The sequence below is a fragment of the Homo sapiens genome, chromosome 8 (genome assembly GCF_000001405.40).
Source record: "Homo sapiens chromosome 8, GRCh38.p14 Primary Assembly".
In the NCBI taxonomy this organism is placed as follows: domain Eukaryota; kingdom Metazoa; phylum Chordata; class Mammalia; order Primates; family Hominidae; genus Homo; species Homo sapiens.
Window position 1 is genome coordinate 144,653,800 of NC_000008.11, and position 16,120 is coordinate 144,669,919.

At 47.6% G+C, this 16,120-nt stretch overlaps 1 protein-coding gene across 3 annotated transcripts in view, besides 2 other annotated features; it reads right to left on the reverse strand.

The window, feature by feature from the left end:
• Nucleotides 1-16,120, reverse strand: part of ARHGAP39 (Rho GTPase activating protein 39) — a 171,184-nt gene that overhangs the window by 124,621 nt on the left and 30,443 nt on the right. The window lies entirely within an intron of this gene.
• Nucleotides 450-961: an enhancer, noted in NCBI's record as "H3K4me1 hESC enhancer chr8:145879634-145880145 (GRCh37/hg19 assembly coordinates)". NCBI's record gives its function as "activates a minimal SCP1, AML or CMV promoter by ChIP-STARR-seq in primed H9 embryonic stem cells {active_cell/tissue: H9 hESC(primed)}" and the evidence as "EXISTENCE:reporter gene assay evidence [ECO:0000049][PMID:30033119]".
• Nucleotides 962-1,472: an enhancer, noted in NCBI's record as "H3K4me1 hESC enhancer chr8:145880146-145880656 (GRCh37/hg19 assembly coordinates)". NCBI's record gives its function as "activates a minimal SCP1, AML or CMV promoter by ChIP-STARR-seq in primed H9 embryonic stem cells {active_cell/tissue: H9 hESC(primed)}" and the evidence as "EXISTENCE:reporter gene assay evidence [ECO:0000049][PMID:30033119]".

Here is a 16,120-nt window from a genome sequence, read left to right on the forward strand (position 1 = left end):
ATTGTAATAACTATCGGGTCATGACAGGGACTGGACTTGTCCTCCTGTTGGAATAACTAGAAATTGTAATAACTAGAATGTGAAAGAACTGGCGCCGAAAAGGGAAACAAACAAGGTGAAACCCGCTCCCAGCCCGGCTCTGTGCAGGCACTTTCCAGACCACGCGGACAGAGCCGCGCCGTCTGCACGTGAGCACGGCTGTCTGGACTGCCGGACACGAGCACTGAAAGGAGGAGACAGTAGTGAACCCGAAGGTGGCAAATGGAATTATCCAAACTAAAGCCCAGTGGAAGATGAACACTGACCTACAGGACAACATGAAGCACCCCAACATATATATAACTGGAACCCTTTACCCAAAATAAAGGGAGAAGACAGTAAAAGTAGTTGAAAAAATAATGGTCAAAATTTTTCCAAATGTGAGGCCAGGCACAGTGGCTCACACTTGTAATCTCAGCACTTTTGGAGGCTGAGGCAAGTGGACTGCTTGAGCCCAGGAGTGTGGGACCAGCCTGGGCAACATGGCGAAACCCCATCTCTGCAAAACATACAAAAATTACCTGGGCATGGTGGCAGGTGCTTGGAGTCCCAGTTACTCGGGAGCTGAGGTGGGAGGATCAATTGACCCTGGGAGGTGGAGGCTGCAGTGATCTGTGATCACACTACTGCATTCCAGCCTGGATGACAGAACAAGACCCTGTCAAAAAAACTTTTTCCAAATTTGATGAAAACTGTTGCTGGCAGCGGCCAGTCAAGACGGCCTGCTGCTGCCATCACGCTGGCTGCAGCAGGGAGGCGTGGCCAGGGCTGCACACTCCATGGAGCTGGCAGGAGCCGGGGACAAGCAGGAGCCCCGCCCCTTCTGAGTTGGGGCAGAAGCTCCCCCTCATGCTGCTGTAGCTGCCCAAGCTGCTGCTGCAGACCCAGGGCCCTTGCTCCATGGAGCAGGAGGAAGCCCAGCCCTCCTGGGTGGTGCTGCAGCCACCCAAGTTGTGGCTGCAGATCTGAGCCTCCCTGTGTTCTTGGGTGGCTGGGAGCAGGCAGGAGCCCTGTCCTCCCAGGTGCTGCTGCAACCGCCCAAACCATGGCTGCAGACCCAGCCTCCTGCTCCACGGAGCAGGCAGGAGCCCCACCCCAATGGGCACAGCTGCAGCCACCCAAACATCCCTGCACTCTTGGGGGCCCAGGAAGGCCCCTCACCCTTGCAGACTCAGAAGTGCTCAGTCCCACTGCCTGGCTTCTCCCTGCTGTCAGCTCCCACTCCAGTCTTGGAGCAAAGTTGGGTCTGAGCCCAGGTGCCATGAACAGCAGCAGGAAGCAGACAGATTCCTGAGTGGAAGGGGGCAGGTCCCCGGTGAGGCCCCACCTCAGGCAAGAGATGGCCTGAAGGCTGGGGGCTGGGCTGCCAGTCCCATGGACTGGAGTGGGAAGTTGTGGTGCCTTTTCCAGACCCACCCATGGCCACCCATCAGCATGCAATTCCTCCCCTCTGAGGCCCATAAAAGCCCCGGGATCAGCCAGAGCTGAGCAGAAAACAGGACAACCAGCTGAAGAGAGGAGCTACCCTCTCTACTGAAAGCTTCAGAGACCTGCAGAGACACCAGGACTACTGGCTACAAAGAGGAGCAGCCCAATCCAGGGCTTCTTCTCTGCTAGGAGCTGGGCAGATGTTGGGATGGCCAGCTGCAGAGAGGAGCTACCCACTCCAGGGCCTCCTCTCTGCTGAGAGCTGAATGCTTATCAGGATGACCTGCCAGCAGAGAGGAGCCACCCACTCCAGGCCTCCTCTCTGCTGAAAACTGCAGAGACGACAGGACGACCTGCCTACAGAGAGGAGTCACCCACTGCAGGTCTCCTCTGAGCTGTTCTAACACTCAGTAAGGCTTCTCTTCATCTTGCTCACCCTCCACTTGTCTGCATACCTCATTCTTCCTGGATGCAGGACAAGAACTTGGGCAAAGGCGCCACTAGCCACCGAGGTTTCTGGCCAGAGAAGCGACACCCCAAAGACCCCGTAACACTATGGATGTGACAAACTTGATGAATGCCAAGCAGGAAAACACCAGACCAAAGTTCAGTCTTATCCAATTGCTACAAACCAGAAAGAGAAAACCTCATCAAAAGCAATGCACAAAAGAAGAAAGGGAACAGCATATCTAACATGCTAAATCAAACAAAACGATCAATCTAGAATCCCATGCCCAGTTAAACTATTCTTAAAGAATAAAACCAAAAACAAAGATTCTTTTCTTCCTGACAAACATAAGAGAATTAGTTGCCAACAGATACATACTAAAAGAAATATTAAATGAACTTATTCAGGCAAAAAGATAATACTGGATAAAAACTTGAATATGTAAAATGTAATAAAGAGCACTAGACATAGCAAATAAGGAAAAAAAAAAAAAAAAGGCCAGGTGTAGTGGCTCATGCCTGTAATCCCAATACTTTGAGAGACTGAGGTAGGAGAATCGCTTGAGCCCAGGAGTTCAAAACCACCCTGCTCAACATAGCGAGACCCCATCTCTACAAAATTTAAAAAAATAAAAAACAAATGTTTTCTCATTTTAAAATGTATGTGATTAAGAGGGTCAATTCATCAAGATTATGTAACAATCCTAAATGCGTATGCCTAGTTTAATAACACAGCTTCAAAACACATGGAAAAAAAAAGTATGGAACTTCAACAAGTAAGGGACAAATTCAAAAGTTAGTCTAAGGGGCCAGGCACGGTGATTCACATCTGTAATCCTAGCACTCTGGGAGGCTGTGGTGGGCGGATCACCCACTTGAGGTCAGGAATTTAAGACCAGCCTGGCCAACATGGCAAAACCCTGTCTCTACTAAAAATACAAAAAATTAGTCAGGCGTGGTGGCACACACCTGTAATCCCAGCTACTTGGGAGGCTGAGATAGGAGAATCACTTGAACCCAGGAGGCAGAGGTTGCAGTGAGCTGAGATGGTGCCACTGCACTCCAGCCTGGATGACAGAGCAAGACTCCATCTCAAAAAAAAAAAAAAAAAAAAAAAAAGTGAGTCTAAGCGTATATAAGACTGGATCTCTATCAAACCACTTTAACCAACATTTATAAAATGAGTTAATTAGACGAAATGGATAAATTCCTTGAACAACACAAACTACCAAAAATCACTCACGAAGAAATAGATAACTTGATAGCCAATGTATCTATTTAATAAATTGAATTTGTAGGTTAAGACCTTCCCACAAAGAAAACCCCAGGCCAAGGTGACTGCACTGGTGAACATTTAAGAACAATAATTAAAATTAAACATTTAAGAAAAATAATTTTGGCCTAGCATGGTGGCTCATGCCTGTAATTCCAGCACTTTTGCAGGCCAAGGTGGGTAGATTGTTTGAACCCAAAAGTTCAAGACCAGTCTCTGAAAAAAATAAATAAAATAAAATAACAAAATAAAACAATATTAATAAAAGACAAAAAAGGAAATGAAAAAGAAAAAGAAAACAGAAAAGAGGAAAGAAAGAAAAAATTAGCTGGGCATGGTGGTATGTGCCTGTGGTCCCAGCAACTCAGGAGGCTGAGGCAGGAGGATAGCTTGAGCCCAAAAGGTTGAGGCTGCAGCCAACTCTGATCATGCTACTGCACTCCAGGCTGGGCAACAGAGTGAGACCCTGTCTGGAAGATGCATTTCTCAACTCATTTATAAAGCCAATAGTACAAACTATATGCTGATCTCAAAACCAGACAAAGGCATTACAAAGAAAACTACAGACCAATATCCCTATGACCACAGATACAAACATCCTTAAAATTTAAAAACTTTAGCAAATTGAATCCAGCAATAAAGGATAACACAATCATATCCAAGTGGAGTTTATCTCAGGATTGCAAGATTAGTTTAACATTTAAAAAATCAATCAGTGTAATTCACCATATTAACAGACTAAAATAGAAAAACATATAAGCTTCGCAAAACAGGCAAAAGAAGCAGTTCACAAAATCCACCATTTATTCTAAATAAAAACTCAAAGCAAATTGAAAATAGACAGAAACTTCCTCAACTTGATAAAAGGTGCATGTCTAAAACCTATAGCTACAGTCAGCCCTCCACATCCATGGGTTGAACCAACTGGGGATTGAAAATATTTTTAAAATAAAAATAAAAAAACAACAATATAACAATAAAAGATAATACAAATTTTTTAATATGGCATAACAGCTATTTACATAGCATTAACACTGCACTGGATATTAAAATTAATCTAGGGATGATTTAAAGTACACAGGATGATATATATAGGTTATATATCAATCCTACAGCATTTCTTTCTTTCTTCTTTCTTTCGAGACAAGGTTTTGCTCTTTTTGCCCAGGCTGGAGTGAAATGGCGCGATCTTGGCTCACTGTAACCTCCGCCTCCCAGGTTCAGGTGATTCTCCTGCCTCAGCCTCCCAAGTAGCTGGAATTACAGGTGTCCACCACCACACCCGGCTAATTTTTTTTTTTTTTTGAGACAGAGCTTTGCTCTTGTTGCCCTGGCTGCAGTGCAATGGTGCGATCTTGGCTCACCACAACCTCCACCTCCTGGGTTCAAGCAATTCTCCTGCCTCAGCCTCCCAAGTAGCTGGGATTACAGGCATGTGCCACCATGCCCAGCTAATTTTGTATTTTTTAGTAGAGATGGGATTTCTCCATGTTGGTCAGGCTGGTCTCTAGCTCCTGACCTCAGGTGATCTGCTCGCCTCGGCCTCCCAAAGTGCTGGGATTATAGGTGTGAGCTACTGCGCCTGGCCACTACAGCATTTTTTAATCAGGGACCTGATCATCCTTGAATTTTGGTATCCACAGGGTGTCCTAAAACCATTCCCCATGGACACTGAGGGATGACTGTGTATCATAACAAACAGCGAAAGACTGACTGCTTTCCCCTCACTACTCTAACATGACACATTACCGGAGGTCCTAGCCAGTGCAATAAGGCAGGAAAAAGAAAAGGTAGAAGGATTAGGAAAGAAGAAATAAAACTATATTCATAGACAAAATGATTATATATGTAAAAAAATTAAAACATTAAATATTAATGTTTAATATTGGGGTAAATATTAAATTTAACCAATATTAGAAATAAGTTTGGCAAAATACATGCACTGAGTAGTACAAAGTACTGATGAAAGACATTTAAGAGGACCTGAATCATGGGGAGGTGTACCAGGTTCATGGATGTGGCAGCCCAACAGGGTTAGGGTGTAATAGCCCCATTGTCTTTCTGTCCAATCCTATTCTGTTCACTCACTCCACAGGTGCTAATCCCAAAAGCATTCCTCAGTAAACTTCCTAAAGACAAATCAACTCAGAGTCCACTTCCCAGGGAACTCGACACAAACAGCAATTAATAATATACACTGTAAAGGACATAATTACTGTAATCAAAATGACAGGCAGCTAGATAACCAGCAACATGCTGACCAGAGCCATTAGCCTACCACCAGCCTAACCACACATTCACACCCTGAAGGCTTGGAGGAAACACCTGGTAACTCCCAACACGTGCTGGGAAGCTGCTCATTTGAAGAATGCTTCTTAACACAATTAGATATGATCAAACGATGTTGCCTTTTTCAATCGTTTTTGACCTACAAAAAACTAAAGTTTCACGTGTTCAACTTTCTGTTTCCATTGAGTCCTGTCTTAACCATGACAAAACGTCTCTGAGGCCAATGAGTGCCCACTTTTCAATCACACCAGCCCTCTGATCTAAGAGTGGAGAGACAAGTGTTATTTCTAAGTCAATGTTCCAAGTTCAAGCTTAATTGGAGGACATTTTCTAGACTATTTCATGGGACCTAAACAAAGCAATCAGAGAATCCCAAACAATTTTTTGCAAAATCTTCCGGCCTTGGCTTATTCGCTGGTTCTGATGCTCTGCCACCCCTTCACAGCTCACTGACACATGCTCTCTGCAGAGCTAAGCTAACAATTGCTTCTCTCATCCCCATTCTCTGGCTGTCTTGAGGGGTCCACTTATTCAAGCCCCACTCTAACTGTGGGACGCCCCAAGATGCATTTCCCTCTACATGCTACCCTTTGAACTCCTCATTCTGTTCCCCCAGTCTCCGTTATAATCCCTCTGTAGCTAAGTCCCAATTCTCTACCCAACCACCTCTCTCCCAAATGCCAGGTTCACCTCAGTTTACAAATGCCAGATGGACATTCCTTGGGTGGTGTTCCCTCACCTGAATCACAATGCTCCTCCTCCCCAGATCACTCTTCCCAACCACCACATGCACTTGCATTGTGCATCTCTTTCTGTCCACAGCACATGCCACTCTGCCCCCGACCCCTGGGTCAAAGGTGTGGAATGCTCCCGTGTCTCCTCCTCCTGGACCCTAGGTCTCCACCACTGTCCATCCCATCCAGGGCACCTTGGCGTCAGCTCTGCAGCACCTATTCCCACAAGCCTGAATGGTCTCTCACAAATTCAAGACTGAATTCCCTCTTGCTGGCCTCTGGTTAAATAATATAAGATTATTCATGCTTTCAGCCTTTCCTCCCCTAACCCCATCTCACCCCTACTACCATATTAAAGAATCTCCAAAAAAGCCAGCCAAGGTCACATCACTTTCATCGTGATAAGCATTCACTGGTGCCTCTAAAATAAAGGGACAATCCTTGCATGAGCACATTCCTTGGAACTGCACTGTGCAACACACTAGTCACTTGTCACTATGCTTAAAGTAAAGTTGAGTAATATTTAATACTCAGTCTTGCAAGCCATGATTCCGTGCTCAGCAGCCACACATAGGACAGCAGGCTCTAGAAAACACTTCTCTCAGGATCTTGGCCCAGACTGACTTCCTACTTCTGCTCTGTTCCAATAAAAACCATCTCTAAATAAATAAATGAATAATTTTTTAAAAGGCTGGGTGGGTGGCTCACCCCTATAATCCCAGCACTTTGGGAGGCCGAGGCAGGCAGATCACTTGAGGTCAGGAGTTTGAGACCAGTCTGGCCAACATGGTGAAATCCTGTCTCTACTAAAAATACAAAAAAAACTTAGCTGAGAGTGGTGGTGTCCATCTGTAGTCCCAGCTACTCGGGACGCTGAGGCAGGAGAATTGCTTGAACCTGGGAGGTGGAGGTTTGCAGTGAGCTGAGATTGTGCCATCGCACTCCAGCCTGGGTGACAGAATGAGACTCCATCTCAAAAAAAAAATAGGCATGGTGGCACACGACTCTGTAGTCCCAGCTGCTCAGGAGACTGAGGCAGGAGGATCACCTGTGCCCAGGAGATGGAGGCTGCAGTCCAGTCTGGCTGCAGACGGCCCTCTCAGCACCGCCGTGAAAACACATGCAGTCCTACACAGGGTCCCAGCAGCTTCACCCACTCCGGGACCACCATGGCCCCTTCACACACAGGCAGTGTGGAGCAGAGGAGGCCATTCCACTCTACACACAGGAGGAGGCCATTCCACTCTACACACACAAGGCTCCCAAAGCTCTGTGAGCAACATCTCAGCCTCTCCCCGGCTCCTCTTTGCGCATTCGCGCGTGACACTCCTGCAGAGGTGGGCTCCACACACCAGCCACCTGGCCTCGGTCTCTTTCCTTCTAACAGGAACAGCACCCTCACTCCTGTGATAGTCTCAACTCTCTTGGGCCCATGCTTACCTGGCAAACACCTGTGGTTAACCCAGCACTCCCCATCCACACCTGCCGCTAAACACATTCAGAGGAAAACAGCCTCTAACCAGCCTTCCCCTTTCTCCCCTCCCAATCCTCACACCAGCCCAAGGCCTGAGGCCATCTGGCCACCAGGCTGGTCTCGAACTCCTGCCCTCAACTGATCTGCCCGCCTCAGCCTCCCACAATACTGAGACTATAGGTGGGAGCCACCATACAAATGAATGAATGAACGAGACGGGGTTTGCTGTGTTGCCCAGGCTGGAGTGCAGTGGTGTGATCACAGCTCACTGCAGCCTTGGGCCACTACCCGCCTCTCCATTATCCACCTTGGACCCCTCCTGTGTCTCTATTATCCACCTTGAACTGTTCCCTCCTCCCCATTATCCACCTCGAACTGCTCCCTCTCCCCACTATTCACCTTGGACAACCCCCCACCCCGCCCCCCTTTCCGCATCTCCATTATCCACCTTGGACAGCTTCCTCTTCCCCGTTATCCACTTTGGACTGCTCACCCTCCCCATTATCCACCTTGGGCCTCTTCCCTCATCCCCATTATCCACCTTGGACCGTTCCCCACATCCCATTATCTGCCTTGGACCACTCCCCACTCCCCATTATCTGCCTTGGCTTGCTCCCCTTCCCCATTATCCAACTTGGACCGCTCACCTTCCCCATTTTCCACCCTGGGTCACTTTCTCTCCCCATTATCCACCTTGGATCACTCCACCCTCCCCATTATCCGCCTTGGACCGCTCCCCCGTCAGCATTATCCACCTTGAACCCCTCCTTCCTCCCCATTATCCACCTTGGACCATTCCCCGACTCCCCGTTTATCCACCTTGGACCACTCCCCCTCCCTACTATCCGCCTTAGAGCGATTCCCCTCTCCCCGTTATCCACCTTGGACCACGTTCCACTCCCCATTATTATCCAGCTTGGACAGCTCTCCCCTCCCCATCATCCACCTTGGGCCGCTACCCGCCTCCCCATTATCCACCTTGGGTCACTCCTCCCCTCCCCATTATCCACCTTGGACTGCTCCCCGTCAGCATTATCCACCTTGAACCCCTCCTTCCTCCACATTATCCACCTTGGACCGCTCCCCCTCCCACTTATCCACCTTGGACCACTCTCCCTCCCGATTATCCACCTTGGGCCGCTCCCCACTCCCCATTATCCACCTTGGATCACTCCTCCTCCCCATTATCCGCTTTGGACTGCTCCCCACTCCCTATTATCCACCTTGGGCCATTACCCGCCTCCCCATTATCCACCTTGGCCAGCTCCCTCCTCCCCATTATCCACCTTGGACTGTTTCCCCCTCCCCCTTATCCACCTTGGGCCACTCCCCCCATCCCCATTAGCCACCTTAAACCGCTCACCACTCCCCATTATCCACCTTGAACCACTCCCCACTCCCCATTATCCACCTCGGGCCTATCCCCCACCCCCATTATCCACCTTGGACTGCTCCCCACACCCCATTACTCACCTTGGGTCACTCCCTTCTCCCCATTATTCACCTTGGACCAGTCCTCCCCATTTTCCACTTTGGGCCGCTCCTCACCTCCCCATTATCCATCTTGGGTCACTCCCCACCCCCCATTATCCATCTTGGACTGCTCCCTCCTCCCCATTATCCCCCTTGGCCCACTCCCCCCTCCCTATTATCCACCTTGGACCACTCTCTCCTCCCTGGTTAACCTTCCTCACTTGGCCTCTTGGTCACTAAAGCCCCTGTTTGTGCTGCTATAAAGGAATACCTGAATCTAGGTAATTTATTTTTTAAAAAAAAGGTTTATTTGGCTCACAGTTCTGCAGGCTGTACAGGAAGCACAGCACCAGCGTCTGCTTCTGGTGAGGCCTCAGGAACCTTCCATTCCTGGCAGACAGGAATGAGAGCTGGCATGTGGAGATCACACAATGAGAGATGGAGCAAGAGAGAGACAGCTCTCAAGGGAACTGAGTGAGAAGTCCCTCCTGAGAGAACGGACCAAGCCACTCATGAGGGAGCCACCCCATGTCTCCAACGCCTCTCACCAGGCCCCACCTCCAACACTGGGGATTAAACTTCAACACAAGACCTGGCGGGACTGAACAAACCACAGCCAACCACAGCAGCCTCCTTCCTGCTCCTAGGCCTCACGTGGCAGGAGGCTCCACGCTCAGCCCCAGGTACCCTCTCCAGCTACACCCATTCCCCGGGAGGCCTCCCCTAGGCTCAGGCAGGCCCTTCATCTCTATGCTCAGGACTCCCCAACCGACACTCCACGAACAACTTCTGACCACCATCTCCAATACTTCAGGCTCATAAATGCAGCATGTCCAAACTGAACTCCTGGGCTTCTACCAGGAAACTTTATTGGTTAACTTCAAGATAGGTGCAGAAAACTCAATAAACAAGATTAAAACAAATGAGGAGCCAGGTGCAGTGGCTCATGCCTGTAATCCCAGCACGCTGGGTGGCTGAGACAGGCGGATCACTTGAGGCCAGGAGTTCAAGACCAGCTTGGGCAACATGGTGAAAGCCTGTCGCTACGAAAAATACAACAATTAGCCGGGCATAGTGGTGTGCACCTGTAGTCCCAGCTACTTGGGAGGCTGAGGTGGGAGAATTGCTTGAACCCAGGAGGCGGAGGCTGCAGTGAGCTGAGATCATGCCACTATAATCCAGACTGGGTGACAGAGTGAGACTCTGTCCCCCCAAAAAAAAGAAAAAAAATGAGGACAAAAATAAAAACTATTTCCAGATTCCAACAGCCTATCCCCTCCACCTCTGCCACCTGAGTAGAGCCTGGGTTGCTGCGGTCAGCTCCTAACTGGTCTCCTCTTCCCTCCCTCCACATGGCAGCCAGCAGGATCCTTTTAAAACAGACAAGGCAGCAGTTTTCCCCAGCTTTGGGTGATGGCCACTACCCAACTTCAGCTTCCATTCTGTGAAGGGCAAGGCCACGTAAACAGTGGCCCCAGGACTCTGCCACTTCCTGCCTCAGCACCTGGCTGCTAGCCCCAGAGACAGGCCATCCAATGTGTGGTAATGGGAGATGGAGCTGCAGGACTCAGCCATGGTTATGTGGTTTGGCTGTGTCCCCACCCAAATCTCAACTTGTACTCCCAGAATTCCCACATGTTGTGGGAGGGACCCAGGAGGAGGTAATTGAATCACGGGGGCTGGTCTTTCCTGTGTTATTCTCGCGATAGTGAATAAGTCTCACGAGATCTGATGGGTTTATCAGAGGCTTCCACTTTTGCTTCTTCCTTATTTTTTCTTGCCACCACCATGTAAGAAGTGCCTTTCACCACCCACCATGATTCTGAGGGTTCCCCAACCATGTGGAACTGTAAGTCCAATTAAACTTCTTTTTGTTCCCAGTCTGGCAGCATGAAAATGGACTAATACAGTAAATTGGTACTTGAGTGGGGTGTTGCTGAAAAGATACCTGAAAATGTGGAAACGACTTTGGAAATGGGTAACAGGCAGAGGTTGGAACAGTTTGGAGGGTTCAAAAGAAGACAGGAAAATGTGGGAAAGTCTGGAACCTCCTAGAGACTTGTTGAACGGTTGACAAAAATGCCGATAGTGATACGAATAAGGTCCAGGCTGAGGTGGTCTCAGATGGAGATAACAAACTTGTTGAGAACTGGAGCAAAGATGACTCTCTTGTTATGTTTTAGCAAAGAGACTGGCAGCATTTTGCCCCTGCCCTAGAGATCTGTGGAACTTTGAACTTGAGAGAGACGACTTAGGGTATCTGGCAGAAGAAATCTCTAAGCAGCAAAGTGTTCAAAAGGTGACTTGGGTGCTGTTAAAAGCATTCCACTTTAAAAGGGAAACAGAGCATAGAAGTTCAGAAAATTTGCAGCCTGATGATGCAGTAGAAAAGAAAAACCCATTTTCTGAGGAGAAATTCAAGCCAGCAGCACAAATTTGCATAAGTAGCAAGGAGCTGAATGTCAATCCCCAAGACCACGGGGAAAATGTCGCCAGGCCATGTCAGAGACCTTCATGGCAGCCCCTGCCACCATAGGTGCAGAGGCCCAGGAGGAAAAAGTAGTTTTGTGGGCCAGGCCCAGGGTCCCTGTGCTATGTGCAGCCTAGGGACTTGGTGCCCTCTGTCCCAGCCTCTCCAATCGTGGCTGAAAGAGACCAACATAAAGCTCAGGCTGCGGCTTCAGAGGGTGGAAGCTCCAGGCCTTGGCAGCTCCCATGTGGTGTTGAGCCTACAGGTGCACAGAAGTCAAGAATTGAGGTTTGGGAACCTCCACCTAGATTTCAGAAGATGTATGGAAACGCCTGGATGCCCAGGCAGAAGTTTGCTGCAGGGATGGAGCCCTCATGGAAAACCTCTGCTAGGGCAGTGCAGAAGGGAAATGTGGGGTTGGAGTCCCTACTGGGGCATGGCCTAGTGGATCTGTGAGAAGAGGGCCACCATCCTCCTGACCCCAGAATGGTAGATCCACCAACAGCTTGCACCGTGTGCCTGGAAAAGCTGCAGACACTAAACGTCAGCCTGTGAAAGCAGCCAGGAGGGAGGCTATACCCTGCAAAGCCACAGAGGTGGAGCTGTCCAACCATGGGAACCCACCTTTTGAATCAGCATGACCTGGATGTGAAACCTGGGGTCAAAGGAGATCACTTTGAGCTTTAAAATTTGACTGCCCTGCTGGATTTTGAACTTGCAAGGGGCCTGTAACCCCTTTCTTTTGGCCAATTTCTCCCATTTGGAACTGCTGTATTTACCTAAAACCTGTACCCCCATTGTATCTTGGAATTAACTCGCTTGCTTTTGATTTTACAGGCTCACAGGCAGAAAAGACTTCCCTTGTCTCAAATGAGACTTTGGACTGTGGACTTCTGGGTTAATGCTGAAATGAGCTAAGACTTTGGGGGGCTGTTGGGAAGGCATGATTGGTTTTGAAATGTGAGGACATGAGTTTTGGAGGGGCCAGGGGTGGAATGATATGGTTTGGCTGTGTCCCCACCTAAATCTCAATGTGAATTGTATCTCCCAGAATTCCCATGTGTTGTAGGAGGGACCCAGGGGGAGGTACTCGAATCATGGGATCTGGTCTTTCCTGTGCTATTCTCGTGATAGTGAATAAGTCTCACGAGATCTAATGGGTTTATGGGGGGCTTCTGCCTTTGCTTCTTTCTCATTTTCTCTTGCTGCCGCCATGTAAGATGTGACCTTCACCTCCCGCTATGATTCTGAGGGCTCCCCAGCCATGTGGAACGGTAAGTCCAATTAAACTTCTTTTTCTCCCCAGTCTTGGGTATGTCTTTATCAGCAGCTTGAAAATGGACTAATACACATGGCTAAAGGCGATCAGTGCTGGACAACACCCGGAGTGCTCCAGTTCTCACAGCAAAGCCCCAATACAGTGTTCAAAGCGACCCAAACAGGCCTCTGCCCACCTCCCGTGAAAAAGAGGAAGATAAAATGCCTGCTGTGGGAAATGTCCAAGCCCCTCCTCCTTGGTCCTGTCCCTTTGAACCTTTGTAAACTTTGCTCAAAAAATGGTAGAACCTTTGCACGCAAGGCCAAGTTTCTGCTACAGATTAATTTTTCCATAAAACCATTTCGAACCAATCAATTTTAATGTTTTGTTTATTCTAAATATAAGAGTTCAGACTCACATTCTATTAAAATTTATCCCCAAAGTGAAAAAGAAAGAGACAAGGCAGATGCAGCACCCTGATGCTCCAAGCCCACCCGCACCCCCATTGCCTGTCCCCAGGCAGCCTGGATGCCCTCCTGCTCCCACCTCACAGGCTGCCCTCCAGCACTGCAGGCTCACTCTGACCCTCCCTCCAGCCTCTGCACTGGGCATTCCCTCTGCCTGCACTCCTTCCCCCACAAGTGGTTTACTTCCTTCACCTGCCCAAATGAAGTGTCTTTGTGACTGAGGCCCACCTGACCCCACCCCCTTCCCAATCTCCAGGCCCTCCCTCATCCTGTCTCTGCAGCACTGACACCTACCAACTACTGCAGATGTCACATGTCACGTGTCTGCTTTTCCCTGCCCTGGGAGAACATAAGCTCCAAGAGAGCAGGGGCTTGGCCTGTCCTCCTCCCTGGGATGTCCCGGCACCTGGGACATCTTCTGTGTACACTAAGTCTCAATAAACAAACTGTTTACACCCTAAGGTCACGGAGATGACAGGACAGGAGAAGAAGTGTGACTGTGGTAAGAGGGAAAGTTCAGGAGTCATGGCACCTGGACTTGAATCCTGGCTCCGCCTACTAGTTGTGTGACCCTGGTGGGTCACAGCCCTCTCCAACCTTGGTTTCCTCATCTATGAAACAGGACCAAGAGCACCCACTGCATGCATTGTTCTGAGGTATAAATTATATAAAAACACAGAATGTGTTCAGAGCATAAGCATCAGATTACAGTAACAATGCCAACAGCAATGAAAATGGGCAACATTTATCTTCAAAACATTTTTCCTAGACTTTATGGAGAGTGACGGCTTCTTCTGACAAAGCAATGTTCAAACCATTGGGCGAGCTGAAAATGCCAGTATGTGCTTCATGGAATTGTGTTCACAGCCTTTTTTTTTTTTAACCTCCATTCAGGACTCAAAAAAGCTAGTGAATTCTTGGTCCCCTAAAAACTGGCACACTAGAGGATGGAATAGAAGTTATATATATATTTGTTTCCTCCCCATTTTTTCAGAAAGGAAATTTTAAGGCCAGGTGCAGTGGCTTACACCTGTAGTCCCAGCACTTCGGGAGGCCAAGGCAGAAGGACTGCTTGAGCCCAGGAGTTTGAGACCTGCCTGGACAACATGGCAAAATCCTGTCTCTACAAAAATACAAAAATTAGCTGAGCACAGTGGCATGCACCTGTAGTTCCAGCTACTCAGGAGGCTGAGGTGGGAGGAGAGCTTGAGCCCAGGAGGTTGAGGCTGCAGTGAGTCAAAATCGCGCCACTGCACTCCATCATGGGTGGTGACAGAGTGAGACTGTCTCAAAACAAAACATAACAAAAAATAAAAACCAATACTTAGCAGGAAGAGGAAGTATTTTTTAGAAGACTCATTGGCAATGAAAAACTCTGAAAATAAGGTTAAGAAAACAATTCCATTTAGAATAACATCAGAAGGAGTAAAATATTTAGGAATCAATTTAACAAAAGAAATGCACTTATATACTGAAAACTACAAAACATTGTTGAAAGAAATTAAAGAAGTCCTAAATAAATGGTAAGACATTCCATGTTCATGAAATGAAAGACAACATTAGTAAGATGGCAGAACACTCCACACTGATCAACAGAATTTAATAGATCCTTATCAAAGTCAAGCTTGCTGAAAAAAAACAATGAGCTTGCTTTTTTGAGGAAACTGACAGGCTGAAGTTCATATGGAAATTCAAGGGATCCACCAGGATAGCCAAAACAATCTTGAAAAAGAACAAAATGGGATACACCTTCTGACTTGAAACTTCTCACAAAGCTACCATAATTAAGACAGCGTGGCACGGGCATGAGGACAGATACACAGGACAACAGCACAGAGTTGAGTTCAGAAATAAACCCTCAAATTTATGATCAAGTAATTTTTGACAAAGGTGCCAAGACATTTCAATGACAGAAAGAAAGAACAATCTCTCCAACACATGGTGCCAAGCAACTGTGTTAAAAAAGCAAAGCAGGACCTTACCTCACACATGAACAAAATTAACTCAAAATGGATCAAACACCTAAATGTATATCAAAATGATATAAAGCAATGTATAAAAAATAGAAATGTAAGCCAGGCACAGTGGCTCATGCTGATAATCCCAACACTTTGGGAGGCCGAGGCGGGTGGATCACGAGGTCAGGAGATTTTAGACCATCCTGGCTAACACAGTGAAACCCCATCTCTACTAAAAATACAGAAAATTAGCTGGGCGTGGTGGCGGGCGCCTGTAGTCCCAGCTATTCAGGAGGCTGAGGCAGGAGAATAGCGTGAACCCAGGAGATGGAACTTGCAGTGAGCCAAGATCACACCACTGCACTCCAGCCTGGATGATAGGGCGAGACTCGGTCTCAAAAAAAAAAAAAAAAAAAAAGATAAAAATTCCAAGGCCTTATGTACTGCAAAAAATAAAGAAAAAAAGAAAAAATAACCCACAGAATGGAAGAACACATTTGTAAATTGTATATATCTGATCCGGCACTTGTATACAGAATATATAAAAAACACATAACTCAGTCATAAAGGATAAGTAGCCCATTTGAAAAATGGGACAGGATATGAATAGACATTTCTGCAAAGATGATGGACAAATGGTCAACAAACACAAGAAAAGATGCTCAACATCATTAGCCATTGGGGAAATACAAATAAAAATCACTGAGATGTCACTTCACATCCACTGAGATGGCTTTAATCAGAAGGATGAACAATCACAAGTATTGTCAAGGATGTGGAAACATTGGAACCTTATGTATCGCTGTGGAA